This window comes from Homo sapiens, chromosome 17, assembly GCF_000001405.40.
Source record: "Homo sapiens chromosome 17, GRCh38.p14 Primary Assembly".
NCBI lineage: Eukaryota > Metazoa > Chordata > Mammalia > Primates > Hominidae > Homo > Homo sapiens.
In genome coordinates, this window is record NC_000017.11 from 59,510,347 (window position 1) to 59,527,584 (window position 17,238).

Consider the following 17,238-nt stretch of genomic DNA (forward strand, 5'->3'; position numbering starts at 1 on the left):
TACAGAAAATTTTAAAATTAGCTGGAGACATTGGCATATACCTGTGGTCCCAGCTACTTGGGAGGCTGAGGTGGGAGGATGGCTTGAGCTCAGGAGTTGGAGCTTACATTGAGTCTCGATTGAACCACTGCACTCCACCCTGGGCAACAGAGTGAGACCCTGCCTCAACTAAAACAAAAACAAAACAAAACCCAGAGTGTTAAAAGTGCAGTGGGAAAGAAGGTGGGGTGGAAGATGAGGTCAGAGAAGTAACAAGTTCAAACCATCCAAGCCCTTCACAGCCATTGGAGCTTTATGGTTTTACTCAACGTAGATGAGAATCCATTGGGCAGGTTTTTTTTTTTAAATGACATGTGCTAACATATTTTAAAAGAATTAATTTGGTTGTTGAATGGAGGGGGCAAGGGCAGAAGCTAGGAATCCAGGGAGGAGAATATTGCAATGATCTGGATGACAGATGGTGTCTAGGGCAGAGTGGTAGCAGTGGAAATTAAGAGTGGTGGACAGATAAGAGGTATATTTTGAAGGCTGAATAAACAGGATTTGCTGATAAATTGGATTTTGGGATGAAAGAAAGTGAAGAGTCAAGGATGATTCCACAGTTTTTGGCCTAAGTAACTGGAAGTTTGGGATAAAGTTTCGGTCCTTTTTCTTTTCTTTTTTTTCCTTTTCTTTTCTTTTCTTTTCTCCCTCTCTCTCTCTCTCTTTCTTTTTCTTTTTTCTTTTTTTTTGACAGAGTCTCGCTCTGTTGCCCAGGCTGGAGTGCAGTAGCATGATCTCGGCTCACTGCAACCTCCGCCTCCTGGGTTCAATTGATTCTCCTGCCTCAGCCTCACGAGTAGCTGGGATTATAGGCACATGCCACCACACTCGGCTAACTTTTTGTATTTTGAGTAGGGACGGGGTTTCACCATGTTGGCCAGGCAGGTCTCGAACTCCTGACCTCAAGTGATCCACCTGCCTCGGCCTCCCAAAGTGCTGGAATTACAGGTGTTAGCCACCACGCCTGGCTGGTTCTTTTTCATTAGTTATTAGATACCTATTAGATAGCCAAGGTCTGACAGTCAGACATTCAGAGGAGAGGACTAGGATAGAGATATATATTTGGGACTCATCAGTGCATGATAGTATTTAAAGTTGTGAGACTGAATGAGACCCAGTGCAGTGGCTCACACTCATAATGCCAGCGCTTTGGGAGGCTGAGGCAGGAGGATCACTTGAGCCCAGGAGTTTGAGGTTACAGTGAACTATGATCATGCCACTGTACTTCAGCCTGGATGACCGAGCAAGATTCTGTCTCAAAACAAAATAAAATAAAATAAAGCTGCAAGACTGAATGAAACATGTGCATAGATAAAGAATAGATATGAGGGCCAAGTCCTGGGACTCCATGCTTAGAGGTCAGGAAGATAAGGAGGAACCAATAAGGCAGACTGAGAAAGAATAGCCATTGGGGTAGCTGCTGCTATATATAGTGAAGAAAATGCATCAAGGAGGGAGTGATCAGCTGTCTACCAGGTGCACTAGGTGCTGATTTCTGGGACAAGAAAAATGAGGACAGGAAATTTATTACTAGATTGAGCAATGTGGAGCTTTTAACACTTACTGCTATCTTATTTATATACTACCTGTTGACATTTGCTTTTTTTCTGTCTCCTCCCATTCTTATGTAAGCTCTGTAAGCTCTGTGACATTCTATTTCATTTGCTACTGCATTCCTAGTGTCTAGGACAGTACCTGGCATATAATAAGTGCTCAATAAATATTCCTTAAATATTATTGAATGGGCCAGCGCAGTGACTCACACCTGTAATCCCAGCACTTTGGGAGGCCGAGGTGGGCAGATGGATCATTTGAGGTCAGGAGTTCGAGACCAGCCTGGCCAATATATAGTAAAACCCCATCTCTACTAAAAAATACAAAAATTAGCTGGACATGGTGGCGCATGCCTGTAGTCCCAGCTACTTGGGAAGCTGAGTCAGGAGAATTGCTTGAACCCGGGAGGCAGAGGTAGTGGTGAGCCGAGATTGCGCCACTGCACTCCTGCCTGGGTGACAGAGCGAGACTCTGTCTCTCAAAAAAAAAAAAATTTATTGAATGAAAAAATTATGAAAACAGGCTGGGCGCGGTGGTTCACGCCTGTAATCCCAGCACTTTGGGATGCCGAGGCAGGTGGATCACCTGAGGTCAGGAGTTCAAGACCAGCTTGACCAACATAGTGAAACCTTGTCTCTACTAAATACAAAAAGTTAGCCGGGCATGGTGGCGCACTGTAATCCCAGCTATTCGGGAGGCTGAGGCAGGAGAATCGCTTGAACCCGGGAGGCAGAGGTTGCAGTGGGCCAAGATTGTGCCATTGCACTCCATCCTGGGCAACAAGAGCGAAAACATTGTCTCAAAAAAAAAAAAAAAATTATGAAAACAAGGAAAAGAAAATTTTATTTCTTAATTCCTCTTTGTACAAAGATATCTTGCTTTTTATATTTTGGTAGAGGAAGTAATGGTGTAGCACCAGTTTTGAATTACGTTTAGAATCTGACAAGGTATTTAAACTCACTAAGCTTTTGTTTCCTTATGCTTAAAAGGTGATGGATAATAATAAGATAATGTCTGAGATTTTACCCAGAACCATGTCCAGTACATAACATGTACTCAATAAATGCTTTGTAAATATGGAAGGGTCACATGAGCCAGACCACACAATGGCAGACAAATTGAATGCAGATAATTAAGTCATTTGATATAGGAAGTTTCATTTACTTGAGAAGTGATTTATTATGTCTTTTCTCTGTCTATACTCTGTCTAAATTCAGTCTCACAACTTTAAATACCAGAAAAAAGGAAGTGTTGCTAGCAGCTGCATTTCCAACTAAAAGCACTTGAGTGTGTCTCAAGATGGGATAAGGACGGTAACATATTCCAAATAGTGTTGCTATTGTGGTGGTTTCACATTAAAATGTAATGGCTAGCCGGACACGGTGGCTCACACCTGTAATCCCACCACTTTGGGAGGCCGAGGTGGGAGGATCGCCTGAGGTCGGGAGTTTGAGACCAGCCTGGCCAACATGGTGAAACCCCATCTCTACTAAAAATATAAAATTAGCCAGGCATGGTGGCACATACCTGTAATCCCAGCTACTCAGGAGGCTGAGACAGGATAATCACTGGAACCCAAGAGGCAGAGGTTGTGGTGAGCCGAGATTGTGCCACTGCATTCCAGCCTGGGCAAGAGCGAAACTCCATCTCAAAAATAAATAAATAAATAAAATGTAATAGCTTTTAGGCTTTTGTTTTGTTTTGTTTTGTTTTGTTTTGTTTTTTGAGACAAAGTCTCATTCTGTCTCCTAGGCTGGAGTGCAGTGGTGCGATCTTGGCTCACTGCAACCTCCACCTCCTGGGTTCAAGCAATTCTCCTCCCTCAGCCTCCCGAGTAGCTGGGATCACAGGCATGCGCCACCACACCTGGCTAATTTTTGTATTTTTAGTAGAGACGGGGTTTCACCATGTTGGCCAGGCTGGTCTTGAACTCCTGACCTCAAGCGATCCGCCCGCCTTGGCCTCCCAAAGTGCTGGGATTAGAGGCGTTATCCACCCTGTCCAGCCGGCTTTCAGGCTTTTAAAAAGTACCTTGTGTCTTATAGATTCTATATTTTAAATCTCATTACATTATAATATAATAAGATAGATAGGTATACTTTGGGGAGACGACTCCCCCTAGACCTAGATCTTCTCCTAGGTCAGCCTGATCTGAATCTTACAGAAGGCACCAGAGTAGGCTGGAGCAGATGCCAAGGCTTGGAAAGACTCTGCAAATATGTTGTGAAGTGTCAACCTCAAAAGGTTAACTAGGAAGCTACTAAAGGATCTTGGCAGTTTAAAGTAGGTAAAGATATTTTCAAGGAGATCGGCCTTTAGCAGGGGAAAATTATGCTGAGTGAGGAGGTTAAAAGGGGGTGGGATAACCAGTTAGAGTTGAGAGCTATTCTGCATTAGCACTTAAGCAGCCTGGGCATGCGGCCAAATCTCTTGGGTTAATGTTTCTTCTCCTTTGTTGTCCAGGATTAGGCAACAATGTGGCCTTCTGTCATTTTGCATTTCTTTGTCTGTTAAAAAGAGTCAATAACCTGCATTCTCTTTGGACCCAGAATATTTGGCCATCATCTTTCCCCTAGCACAGAAACAATGACATTCTGGTATTGATGTATTGGTACCGGACATTGTGGGGAGATGTCAAGATGGTGATTAAAGTTCTGATCCTTTGGAAATCAGTGTTTATGGGAAGGTACTAAACATTACAAGAAGCTAAGAATGCGAAGGACAAATATTTAGAGAAAATCTCCAAGAACAAACTCTTCCAGATAGCGACAAAGTTTGTATTCGTGTGCCAACAATTCTTGTCTCTCTTGATAATACTATTTTTTGCCATGAAATGTGGGTTATTACAGTGATGGGGAAGAGAGGCTGAATCAGAAAGGATGTTGACATTTGGCAACAGAAGAAAGGGTTTGTATTTTTATTTATTTATTTTTTGAGACAGGGTCTCATTCTTTCACTGAGGCTGGAGTGCAGTGATGCCATCTTAGCTCACTGCAACCTCTGCCTCCTGGGCTGAAGCAATCCTCCCACCTCAGCCTCCCGAGTAGCTGGGACTACAGGCATGCACTACCTTCCTCTGCTGATTTTTGTCTTTTTAGTGGAGACGGGGTTTCACCATGTTGCCCAGGCTGGTCTTGAACTCCTGGGCTCAAGCGATCAGCACACCTCAGCCTCCCAAAGTGCTGGATTACAGGTGTGAGTCACCGTGCTCTGCCAGAAAGGGTTTTTTAAATCTTGCAGTGTACCCTTCAGGACGGCTGAAAGCATGACTTTGTGGGCTCCTTTTTTGTACTTTGGCTTCACAAGGGGAATGACATCTCCCAAGTGACTCTGTCTGACTGGTCTTTGTCATTATTATTACCTCATTTACTTAGTACTTCCTAATATTAGACATCGTACTAAGTGTTTTACGTGTATTATTCCATTTACTTTTCACAAAAAAAAACTCATGAAGTAGGAACTATTAACGTTCTCTTCATACAAAGAAAACTGAGTCATAATCCCACCACTGGTGAGCTTTTGGTGATGTGTAGCATCTGGATACTGGAAAAGAAGTCCCTAGTTGAGGTGCTAAGAGAGAGGAACAAACATATTTAGAGCAACTTGCTGGGTGCAGTGACTCAAGCCTGTAATCCCAGTACTTTGGGAGGCTGAGGTGGGAGGATTGCTTGAGCCCAGGATTTTGAGACCAGCTTGGGCAACATCATGAAACCCCATCTCTACTAAAAATACAAAAATTAGCCAGGAGTGGTGGCACATTGCTGTAGTCCCAGCTACTTAGGAGGCTGAGGCATGAAAATCATTTGAATTCAAGAGGCAGAGGTTGCAGTGAGCTGAGATTATGACATTGTACTCCAGCTTGTGTGACAGAGTGAGACTCTGTCTCAAAATAAAATAAAATAAAAATGAATAAATGAAACATACACATTTGAATTTTCATTCATTCATATTTTGCTTCCTTCCATGAGTTGGGCATTGTATTGGGACTGGGAATACAATAATGAACAGATGCAGGTCACAGGCTATTGAGAGTCCAGTAATTCAAATAGTTGTAATGCAATATGAGAAGTGTCATGATACAGAGCAATGTTTTCAAAACTTTTCTAATGATGGGAATCCCCAGGGCCGCTTGTGAAATATGGAACTTAACTTACCAGACTTTTCTCATGTAAATTCTGAGGTTTTAGAATCTGGAATCTGGTTTTTTTTTTGTTGTTGTTGTTTTTTTGAGGCAGAGTTTCACTCCGTCATCAGGCTGGAGTGCAATGGCGCAATCTCGGCTCACTCCAACCTCTGCCTCCCGGGTTCAAGCGATTCACCTGCCTCAGCCTCCTGAGTAGCTGGGACTACAGGTGCGCGCCACCACACCCAGCTAGGTTTTTTTTTTTTTGTATTTTTAGTAGAGACAGGGTTTCACCATGTTGGCCAGAATGGTCTCCATCTCTTGACCTTGTGATCTGCCCGCGTCGGCCTCCCAAAGTGCTGGGATTACAGGCATGAGCCGCTGCACCTGGCCTAGAATCTGTTTTTTAACTAACACTAAAGTTGAGTCGTATATTCAGGAAAGTCTGGGAAGCATAGATGTAAAGGTGTGTGCCCAAATGCTCGAGAAACCTAAGGTGGGGTGTCTACTCAGCCTGGGGAGTTAAGGATGGCCTCACAGAGAAGGTGACAGCTGAAGAGGAGGTGCAGGAACAGAAGTTATTTCACACCCCAGCAGGGGACCCTACCCTTGTGTTCTAAGGTGTGAAAGTATGAGCAAACATTGACCTATTTAGGACACTGAGAGCAATCAGACACTGTGGAAGTCAAAATATACAAAGAGAAATAGCAAGGGATAAGGCTGGAGAGAAAGTGAGGGCCAGGCTATGAAAATCCTGGAATGCCATGTGAAGAAATATAGATTGATGGAGATGCTTTTTAGACTGCCTTGGTTCTTATTTCTATTTTATATATTATCATATCATATTTTATATATTTATACATTAGTATATAATATTTATATATTGTATACTATAATATATTGTTATATTTATATTTACTGAAATTTTTTTTTTTTGAGACAGGGTCTCTCTGTCACCTAGGCCGGAGTGCAGTGGTGCAGCCTCAACCTCCTGGTATCAAGAGATCCTCCCACCTCAGCCTCCTGAGTAGCTAGGACCACAGGTGTGCACCACCATGCCTGGCTAATTTTTGTATTTTTTGTAGAGACAGGATTTCACCATGTTGCCCAGGCTGGTCTTGTACTCCTGGGCTCAAGCGATCTGCCCTCCTCAGTGTTCCAAAGTGCTGGGATTACAGGCATGAGCCACTGTGCTTGGCCTATTTACTGAAATTAATTCCTTTTAAATTTTCCTTAGACAAGACTCAGTGGAGTATCATGGAGGAATGAGAGGCTTGTTTCTCTGGTTCTCAGCAAAAGGGCATTGGCCACACTGCTGGGAACAGAGGTGGTAATTTTAGTGAAGGGAATCAAAATGAGAGAGCCCAGATAGAGAGGTGGGCCTCACAGCGAATGGCTGAGAAAGACTGGAGCAGCTGTCATTGCCTTCTTGAGACCTTTTCTGATCAAACCAAAGAGGACATTCTACTTTGTTTTTGTAAGACTAAATGCTTTCTATACAAAACCAGAGCTTAATGTTTAGATGTAAAATAGTGAAACCCCAAAATACATTAAAAGTATGTTGGCTGGGCAAGGTGGCTCAGGCCTGTAATCCCAGCACTTTGGGAGGCCGAGGCAGGCGGATCACAAGGTCAGGAGGTTGAGACCAGCCTGACCAACATGGTGAAACCCCGTCTCTACTAAAAATACAAAAATTAGCCGAGCAGGGTGGCGCATACCTGTAATCCCAGCTACTCAGGAGGCTGAGGCAGGAGAATTGCTTGAAACTAGGAGGCAGAAGTTGCAGTGAACTGAGATCGCACCACTGCACTCCAGCCTGGGCGACAGAGCAAGACTCCATCTCCAAAAAAAAAAAAAAAAAGTATATTTTGATGCTTTTTAATCACAAATTATAAGAAACTCTCTATATTCATTCAAAGAAATAGTACATGCTCAGATGCGCCCTGCTCCAGGGAAGCCTTCTCTGCCTCCTTCTCTTTCTCTCTTCCCAGTATAGGTACCTCTCTTCTGTGCTTCTGAAATACCGTGAGCATCTAAACATATTGCATACGCGTATTATGTATTTATTTGTTTATGCTCATCGTTGCATATTATATGTTTATTTGTCTACTTCCTCCATTTCATTGTGAGCTCTTTGAAGGCAAAGAATGTGATATATTCTTTTTGTACACGTAGGAGTGAGCAAAGGCACATAAATGTCCAATAAATTTTTTTTGGAAGAGAGATTGAGAGAGAGAATACTATGTTTATTCTTTGAAACCATACTTTTTTTTTCTTCTAGGACAGGAAGCAGCTAAATCATACATTTCATTATCAGGACTTTTGACTGCTCTGAACTGATTTCAAGAAAAATGCCTTGTTTGAATCCAGTAGCTGATGTGGTTGAAAAGCACAAAAATATGCTCCTTTGTTAGTGCAAATTGATTCAATAATTCCATAGCTATCATCGGGATAAAGCACATTTAAGCCACATCGTTCACTGAGAACTTATGTGTTTTAAAGTGAAATTTTCAAGTCAGAATTTTAACAGAGAAAGGCAAAAATTTTTAAATATTGACTTCTAGAAGCTTGAATTCAATTAAGCTTGTTTTGCTAAGAATAATTTTTACTCAAAACTCATTAGTAAATGAAAAGAAACTCATTAGAAGATGTATATGTTGGCCGGGCGCGGTGGCTAATGCCTGTAATCCCAGCACTTTGGGAGGCCGAGGTGGGTGGATCACGAGGTCAGGAGTTCAAGACCAGCCTGGCCAAGATGGTGAAACCCTGCCTCTACTAAAAATACAAAAAATTAGCCGGGCGTGGTGGCGGGCACCTGTAATCCCAGCTACTCGGGAGGCTGAGGCAGGGAATTGCTTGAACCCGGGAGGTGCAGGTTGCAGTGAGCCAAGATCGCGTCACTGCACTCCAGCCTTGGCGACAGACCGAGACTCCGTCTCAAAAAAAAAAAAAAAAGATGCATATGTTATGTACATTTAAAAAATCTCCTAGAATGGAAAGCTATTACTTTTTATTTCACATGCATCATTTCTCTCATTTTAGTATGAAACATTTAAAAATATTTTCCATTTCATCTTTAATTTGACTTAGCCCTGATTTTGTAGACTTTCTCAACATTCTGTGATTATTGCATCAGGACGATGAAATATTTCAAAACAACTATTTTATAAAACAATTAAACTTCTGGAAAAATAACCCATGTTTTTCTTCCGTTATGTCACTTCAAATGTTCATTATTGAAAACTTTCTCAGTACTTTTAATGCTTACTAATCAATTATTTTACAATAATTTATTGAGAAAAAATTATTCTAAAGTATTACTCTAAAGCCTTGGGTAAAAAACATATTTGGATATTTGTGACAAGTAAAACAGAAATGCCAGGCTTCAAAACAGATTAGCTTTGGCAAAGAAACATCTTGCTGAATGTAGACATACAGTATCCTCTCTCTATAAGAACAACTTATGTTAGAATCTGTTGTTGCATATAAAAGTCTTATTTGAGTGGAAACTTGTACATCTGTCAAATGAAACTTTGTGGAAAAGATCAATTCATTTTAGGAAAATAAGTAAAATTAATATGCAGAAAAAATAGCTTTAAAAAAGCAGTGTACGTTCATTAGCAATTTGGATTCAGACAATTTGTCAAAGGAAGCTGCTACTTGTATTTATGAAACTGGGGCAAAATGTTGGCAGTCTTGTCGGGTCATTTTACTTGGAATCATGGACGGCTGAAGCAAAACAGGATCTTAGACATCATCTGGGTCAGGGGTACTCTACTTTCGTTACGCATGGGAGGATTACCTGAGAAGCTTTTTTTTTTTTTTTTTTTTTTTTTTTTTGAGACAGAGTCTTGCTCTTGTTGCCCAGGCTGGAGTGCAATGGCATAGTCTCAGCTCACTGCAAACTCCACCTCCGAGATTCAAGCAATTCTCCTGCCTCAGCCTCCTGAGTAGCTGGGATTACAGGCATGTGCCACCACGCCTGGCTAATTTTGTATTTTTAGTAGAGATGGGGTTTCTCCATGTTAGTCAGGCTGGTCTTGAACTCCTAACCTCAGGTGATTCACCCACTTCTGCCTCCCAAAATTCGGGGATTACAGGCGTGAGCCACCGTGCCTGGCTGAGAAGTTTTTTAAAAAGCCTGCACTCAGACCCTGACCCCTTGTTCCCCCTTTGTTCTCCCCAACTCAATTGGTTTGGCTTAGGGCTCAGAATCAGGGTTTTTTTGTTTTTGTTTTTTTAATTGTGGCAAAATATACAAAACATACAATTTACTATATTAATCATTTGTAAGTATACACTTCAGCGTTATTAAGTGCACTTACATTGTTGTGCAACCGTCACCACCACCCATCTCCAGAACTTCCTTCATTTTCCCAAATAGAAACTCCATACCCATTAATCAGTAACTCCCTATTCTCCCCTCCCCATCCCTTGACAGCCACCATTCTACTTCCTGTCTCTATGAATTCGACCGTGCTAGGTAGCGCATATAAATGGAATCATACACTATTTGTCCTTTTGCTTATGCTTATTTCACTTAGCATAATGTCTTCAAGACTCATCCATGTTGTAGTAAGTACCAGAATTTTCTTCCTCTGAAAAGGCAGAATAATATTCCATTGAATAGATAGATATACCACATTTTATTTATCCATTCATCTGTCGATGGACATTTTGATTATTTCCACTTTTTGGCTACAGTGAATAATGCCTCCATGAACATAGATGTCGGTTTGAATCCCTGCTCCCAATTTTTTTGGCCATATACCTAGAAGTGAAATTGCTGGATCATATGATAATCCTGTGTTTAATTTTTTGAGGAACTGACATAGTTTTCCACAGCAGCTTCACATTTTTACATTCCCATCAGCAATGCACAATGATTCCAATTTCTCAGCATCCTCTCCAACTTAAGTGAAATTTTAATCTTTATTTATGTAACCCTTGATAGTAAAAACTTTTCTAACCCTCTTATCTTTAATTATGCTGTATTTCTAAGTTGCATGGTCCTTTTATAGAGAGACAAGGTCTTGCTCGGTCATCCAGGCTGAAGTCCCGTGGTATGATCATAGCTCACTACAGCCTTGAACTCCTGGGTTTAAGAGATCCTTCTGCCTCAGCCTACCAAGTAGCTAGGACTACAGATATGCACCACCATGTCCATCTAATTTTTAAAAAAGAATTTCCTTAGAGGTGGGGTTTTGCTTTGTTGCCCAGGCTGGTCTGAAACTCCCAGCCTCAAGCGATCCTCCCACCTTGGACTCCAGAAGTGCTGGGATTACAGGCATGGGCCTCCGTGCCTGGCCACAAATATTTAAGTTCTTATTCTTCTATCTTCAACAGATACCTTCTTTGATTATAAAAGCAACACAATATATAATTATCAAAAACCTACAAGTCACATAATCTCCATTTTTCCAGGCTTCACCAAGTTGAGAGTACTCATGGGGCCATATTAACAGTAATACCCAAAAGTTGCTGGCTTTTACTCCCAGGCGAATCTTCTTTCCTTCTGCTCTGCCTTGCCACGTTCGGGGAAGTTCCCAGAAAATCTAAGCATGATTTGGGGGAAGAGTCACTGATGTAATTTCCTAGACAGCCACTGGAGGGCAGCAGCTCCCTCTCACCCCCGACCCCAGCCCTGAAGAGGATGCTGCCATCAGGCCCAGAGCATTCCTGAAGCAGCAAACTCTCAGTCATTGCATGGAAACTCTACAGAAACAGGGGGACTATCCCTCTTCCCAACTCTTGGTCACACGTTGTGACCTGGGTTTCGTAAAGTCCTATGTGGAAACAAGCACATGTCAGAGTCCAAGCTTAATAGCGGGTTGAGAATGTGATACACAACAGGATGACCCTGACAGCCTGCAGCTGGCGGCTATCTAGCGTTCCCTCACGCAAGATAAGCAGTTTTCACAGAATAACAACAATAATCAGACAAGGTCCCTCCGTAACCATGGTGGAACAAGACAATAACAAGATTGCAACTTACTCAATCTGAACATGAACACAGACAAAGACATTAAACAATCACGAAAATAACCAAATAGCCACCCTGATGTAGTCACACGAGTGACTCTAGCCTCCCAGGTAAAAATTAAGACACCCAATCATCAGGCCGGGTGCATTGGCTCATGCCTGTAATCCCAGCACTTTGGGAGGCTGAGGCAGGTGGATCACGAGGTCAAGAGATCGAGACCATCCTGGCCAACATGGTGAAACCCTTTCTCTACTAAAAATACAAACTAGCCGGGCGTGGTGGTGTGCACCTGTAGTCCCAGCTACTTGGGAGGTTGAGGCAGGAGAATCACTTGAACCTGGGAGGCAGAGGTTGCAGTGAGCCGAGATCACGCCACTTCACTCCAGCCTGGGCAACAGAGGAAGACTCCATCTCAAAAAAAAAAAAATTGCACTTTGGGGTTTGCAGCAACCTCTTGTTAGTATTTATCCTATCTAGTGGAGAATTTCTCTTTATTTTAACTACTGCCTGAAAGACACTGCTGTGATACATTAATTTTTAATGTAAGTAGGTGCATAGCTATAATGAAAACATCATAATAAATCTTCATACGTGCTGAGAAGATAATCTTGAAATCTATATTATATAAATATCGTCACTTCAATTTATTGTGTACAATTAATGAAGTTTAAAAATATAAGTTCTGAATAAAATTTACAGTATTCTGCTTTTCCTTTAAGAAGAAGGCTGAATTTATCGTGGACTTTTTTGGTATAGCTATTGTAGATAGGAGTTATTGTCAACTTTATGAGTCAGCTAAGTGAGAAACATATTAAATTATTTTTTTATTGACCTGAATTATCTTAATTGGCTCCATCAAACTCACCAAATATTCAACCCTCAAATTGGCTTTCCTATTCAGAAGATGAAAGCAAACACTGAGAGTAGTTTCTGTTAAAAATGCAATTCCATTTAAAATAAAAGCAGCTGTCTGTTAACTACCATGCCATCAAAATTAGGCTATCACTGCATGTAATTACTTTTAAAATGAAAATTAAAGTTTCAATTATTTTCTTTTATTCAGTGAGGTTAAAAGACATTTTCCCTCTCCAATTTTTAATGTATATTATTTAATAACGATAAATAGAAATGCCAAAATTTTTAAAGGATAAAATGAAGAATATTAAGCATCGTTTATTGTTGCCTAATATTAATAAACCTACTGAGCTTAAAATGTATTTGAGTTATTTCAAATGGAATCATTTTTCCTAGACTGTGTGCTCTCTGAGGGTAGGATAGTGTTTTGTTTCTCCACGGTTTCAAGTTTTATCCAGAAAAACAGGGTTGTCGAATATTCTGTATGAATTGTTTTTCGAACTTCAAGAAACTTCTTGTATGGCCACAAAAGTAATATCATCTATACACTTATAAGAAAATATTAATATATTTTAGTGAATTGAGTTGCATGTGTGGAGACAGATACAAACACACAATATTTTAGAAATAAACAAATCCGGCCAGGTGCGGTGGCTCATGCCTGTAATCCCAGTACTTTGGGAGGTTGAGGCAGACTGATCACCTGAGGTCAGGAGTTTGAGACGAGCAAGGCCAACATGGCAAAACCCTGTCTCTACTAAAAATACAAAAATTAGCCAAGCGTGGTGGCACATGCCTGTAATCCCAGCTACTTGGGAGGCTGAGGCAGGAGAATCACTTGAACCCAGGAGATGGAGGTTGCAGTGAGCCAAGATTGTGCCACTACACTCCAGCCTGGGTGACAGAGCGAGACTCTGTCTCAAAAACAAAAAACAAAAAACAAAAATCCGATGGAGCAGGGCTTCCCAGCCTTTCTCATGTCATGAGAAGAATATATATATATGAATGATAGTAGTTGAACAGCACATTGGGGTAAATTGACAAGACTGCTCTCAGCAGAAGGCAATAACCCAGGGCAGGCACTGCGCACCTGAGACATCCACCAGAACTCCCAAGAGTTTAAAGTGTTCAGAAATGTGCTCGAGCCAGCTCCTACCAGATCCCAAGAGCCAAATGTGTATATATCTTCCCCAATTTGCACTTAATGACAGCTTGCTGGTAGTCTGAAATTGTCCATGGTAGGAGTACTTACACCACGGAAATAAAACAATTATCGAATACAAGCTGGGCCCAACGGCTCACGTCTATAATCCCAGCGCTTTGGGAGGCTGAGGCAGGAGGATCACTTGAGCCCAGGAGTTTGAGGCCAGCCTGGGCAACATAGTAAGACTCTATCTCTAAAAAGTAAGATGAAATTAACAAATGCTACAAATCAAGCCTTTTTTTCCTGGAGAGCTGGTTGTTACACATGTACTTTCACCTTATTGACCCGAGGGAAGGGGTCCATACCTCAGGACATTTATAACTCGCTTGTGGCATACCTGTTGGGCAGCTCTGCAATAAAGTCTTGTTTTTTGTTTTGTTTTGTGGTTTTTTTTTACTCTCCAAATATAAGCGGTTTTTGTTTTTTGTTTGTTTGTTTTTTCAAGACAGAGTCTTGCTCTGTTGCCCAGGCTGGAGTGCACTGGTACTATCTCAGCTCATTGCAACCTCCGCCTCCTGGGTTCCAGCAATTCTCCTGCCTCAGCCTTCCAAGTAGCTGGGATTACAGGCGTGCACCACCATGCCTGGCTAATTTTTGTATTTTTAGTAGAGATGGGGTTTTGCCATGTTGACCAGGCTGGTCTCAAACTCCTGACTTCAAGTGATCCAACCACCTCAGCCACCCAAAGTGCCAAGATTACAGGTGTGAGCCACCGTGCCCGGCCCAAATATAAGTTGTTTTATACAAATCGTACCAGGCAGCTGCTCTGTAATTTGATTTTATTATGTAGAATAAAAATTTAAAGTCTGGGTGCAGTGGCTCACGTCTGCAGTCCCAGCACTTTGGGAGGCCAAGGTGGGCAGATCACCTGAGGTCAGGAGTTCAAGTCCAGCCTGGCCAACATGGCAAAACTCCGTCTCTGCTAAAAATACAAAAATAATTAGCCAGGCATGGTGGTGGGTGCCTGTAATCCCAGCTGTTTGGGAGGCTGAGGCAAGGGAATTGCTTGAATCCAGGAGGCAGAGGTTGCAGTGAGCCAAGATTGCGCCACTGCCCTCCAGCCTGGATGACAGATACTCAGTCTCAAAAAACAAACAAACAAAAATTTAAAACATTCTATGTCAAGCTTGAGTAAAATAAATTTTAGAGTAAATCCACCTTGAGGCTAGAACATCATGTGTAAACACTAGCAACTAACTATAGATAAGACAATATGGAGGGAGGAAAACCTCAGTGAAATTTAAGTTTCGCCCAATCACCTTACAAATGAAGCTCAATTCACAAGTCCCATAGTCTCAGACAGAGCTGTCAGTACATTCTTAGTTCTGTAGCCCCCTACATACAAGTGAGAAAGAAAGTTTTTATCATTAAAAAACAGAGACCAAAACAAATAAACAGGACAACAAAATGTAGAGGTATTGAGATAATGCAAGAAGTAAAATAAATAAATAATAAAACTGTTAAAGACGTCTTCAGAGAGATAAGAGAAGATACGCACTTATGAAATAATACAGAGCCCTTGGAAATTGAACATATAGCAGGAGCAAAAACTTTAATAAAGGAATTGGAAGATGAAATTGAAGACTCTTTTAGAAAGAAGAAAAAAAAGACAAGAAAGTGGAAATTGAAGAGAAAAAAAATAAGGAACCTATTGGATCACTGCAGAATGTCCAATACCTGCCTATAATGTGAAATCCTGCATGGCAAGGATTTTGTATGTTTGATCATTGCGTAGAATAGAACCAGACACACAGTAGGCCATCAATAAATAGTTCTGCAAGAAATCAATTTTCAGAGTGTAAGGATCCACTCAGAACAAGAATGGGGAAAGACTCATGCCAACACACACGATTGTGAAACTTCAGAACATCAGAGACAAAGGGATCTTCAAAGCCTCTGGAGAGGAGAAAAAACACATACTCAAGGATCAAGAGTCAGATTGGCTTTGAACTTTAGAATAGCAAAGTTGGAAACATTATATTCCAGTAAGGAGTCATCCTGCACTTTTTATACATTCTTTCAAATGTCCAGTGATACAGAGAAACCTTTTTCATTCACCCCCAGTGACAGAGCAATCTTGAATATCTTGCAAGATTACACCTTATTTGCAAGCACATATGTGAACTAAATTCTTTCAAAATATTGTCATCAAAAATGATTAGCAAAGCAAGTTAACGTCTAAAGTTTTGTGGCTTGATATTAACTCCTTGGTGCTCAATTAAAATAAAACCCATTTATTATTCAGTCTATTTTGTGTTCCTTCATTGCATGCAATTGCAACAAGTAGACATTGGAGGCAAAAAGTAAGATTACATAACACAAAATAGATTCTCAAATGTTCCTCCAACAAAGCAGAAACGAATAATGCTTACCTCTGGTCAGTATTCATGTGGTGACCAGGGTTAGTGGTACTGCCATGAGGCTCCATGTGGCTGGATTGTTGATATTTTCTGTCAACTGTCAGTGACAGAAACTCAACTCAGTCTAGTTTTAGCTCCTGGAAATGGGAAGTCCAAGGGGTGGGTCCTGCATCAGGCATAACTGGATCTAAGAGTGCAAATCATGTCATGGGATCTCTCCTTTTACCCTTCTCTTCACTGCTCTTCTGTTTTCTCTGTGTGGCTTCATTTCCAGGCAGGCCATCCCCATGTGGAAGCAAAGATGGCCAGCAAACAGCTCAGGCTTACGTTTTCCTCATGGCTAGCAATTCAACTCTTGCTTTCCCAGCATTTGCATCCATCTTTGGAAAGAATTTAGATTATGTCACTTGCTCCCTCCTTGACCAATTGTGTGATAGGGAGAATTAGGCACTGTGATTGGGCTGCCTGGTTCATAAACTGATGAGATTTGTTTTAGGGCCAGATGGTTGGTATCTGTGGGGAGAGAAAGGATACAGAAGTTGGGAATCAAGCAGGTTCTGGATTTAAACCCATGTATCTGACAGACCCACCTAAATCCCATAGAGTGGGAGGGTGATAGCTTTCAAAAGAAGAGGATCAGAAAAGACTCCTCCCCATCCTCCTCCCCTCAAGATAACAGATGATCACTTACATGAGATTTTCCCTAGGAGTCAAAATTCTTCACGCTGTAAGATACTAAATAAAATGCAATCGTTTTAAGAAGAGCATACTTGAGAAAATTATCACCTTGAAGTGATGGACGGCTTAATTAGAATTTAAAAAAAGAAAAAAACACAACCCACGGCATTATCCAAATTACTTGAGGTATAACATACAAACTCTTTGGTTTCTAGGAGATATGTAAATGATTCACTTGTATTTTTAATTTGTAAGTAAATGGTGCCAGGTTTCCAGACAGAAACTGAAGCCAAATCTTTATCCATGGAACTTCACAGTGAGAGGCACATCTTAGAGATGAATACAAATCAATAATACAAATTACCCTTATCTAAGTGCCCCAATATTGTACCTCTTGTGCTCTGGTTATCATATTCCCACAGCTCTGGGTGTTTCAAAT

At 41.2% G+C, this 17,238-nt stretch overlaps 1 long non-coding RNA gene across 1 annotated transcript in view; it reads right to left on the reverse strand.

Moving 5' to 3' along the window:
- The window catches only part of LINC01476 (long intergenic non-protein coding RNA 1476), a 95,989-nt gene extending 79,478 nt beyond the window's left edge, over positions 1 to 16,511 (reverse strand). The window contains exon 1 of the long non-coding RNA NR_110813.1: positions 16,134 to 16,511. This is a non-coding gene — a long non-coding RNA (long intergenic non-protein coding RNA 1476). The remainder of the gene's footprint in view (positions 1 to 16,133) is intronic.
- Between the last annotated feature and the right edge of the window lie 727 nt (positions 16,512 to 17,238).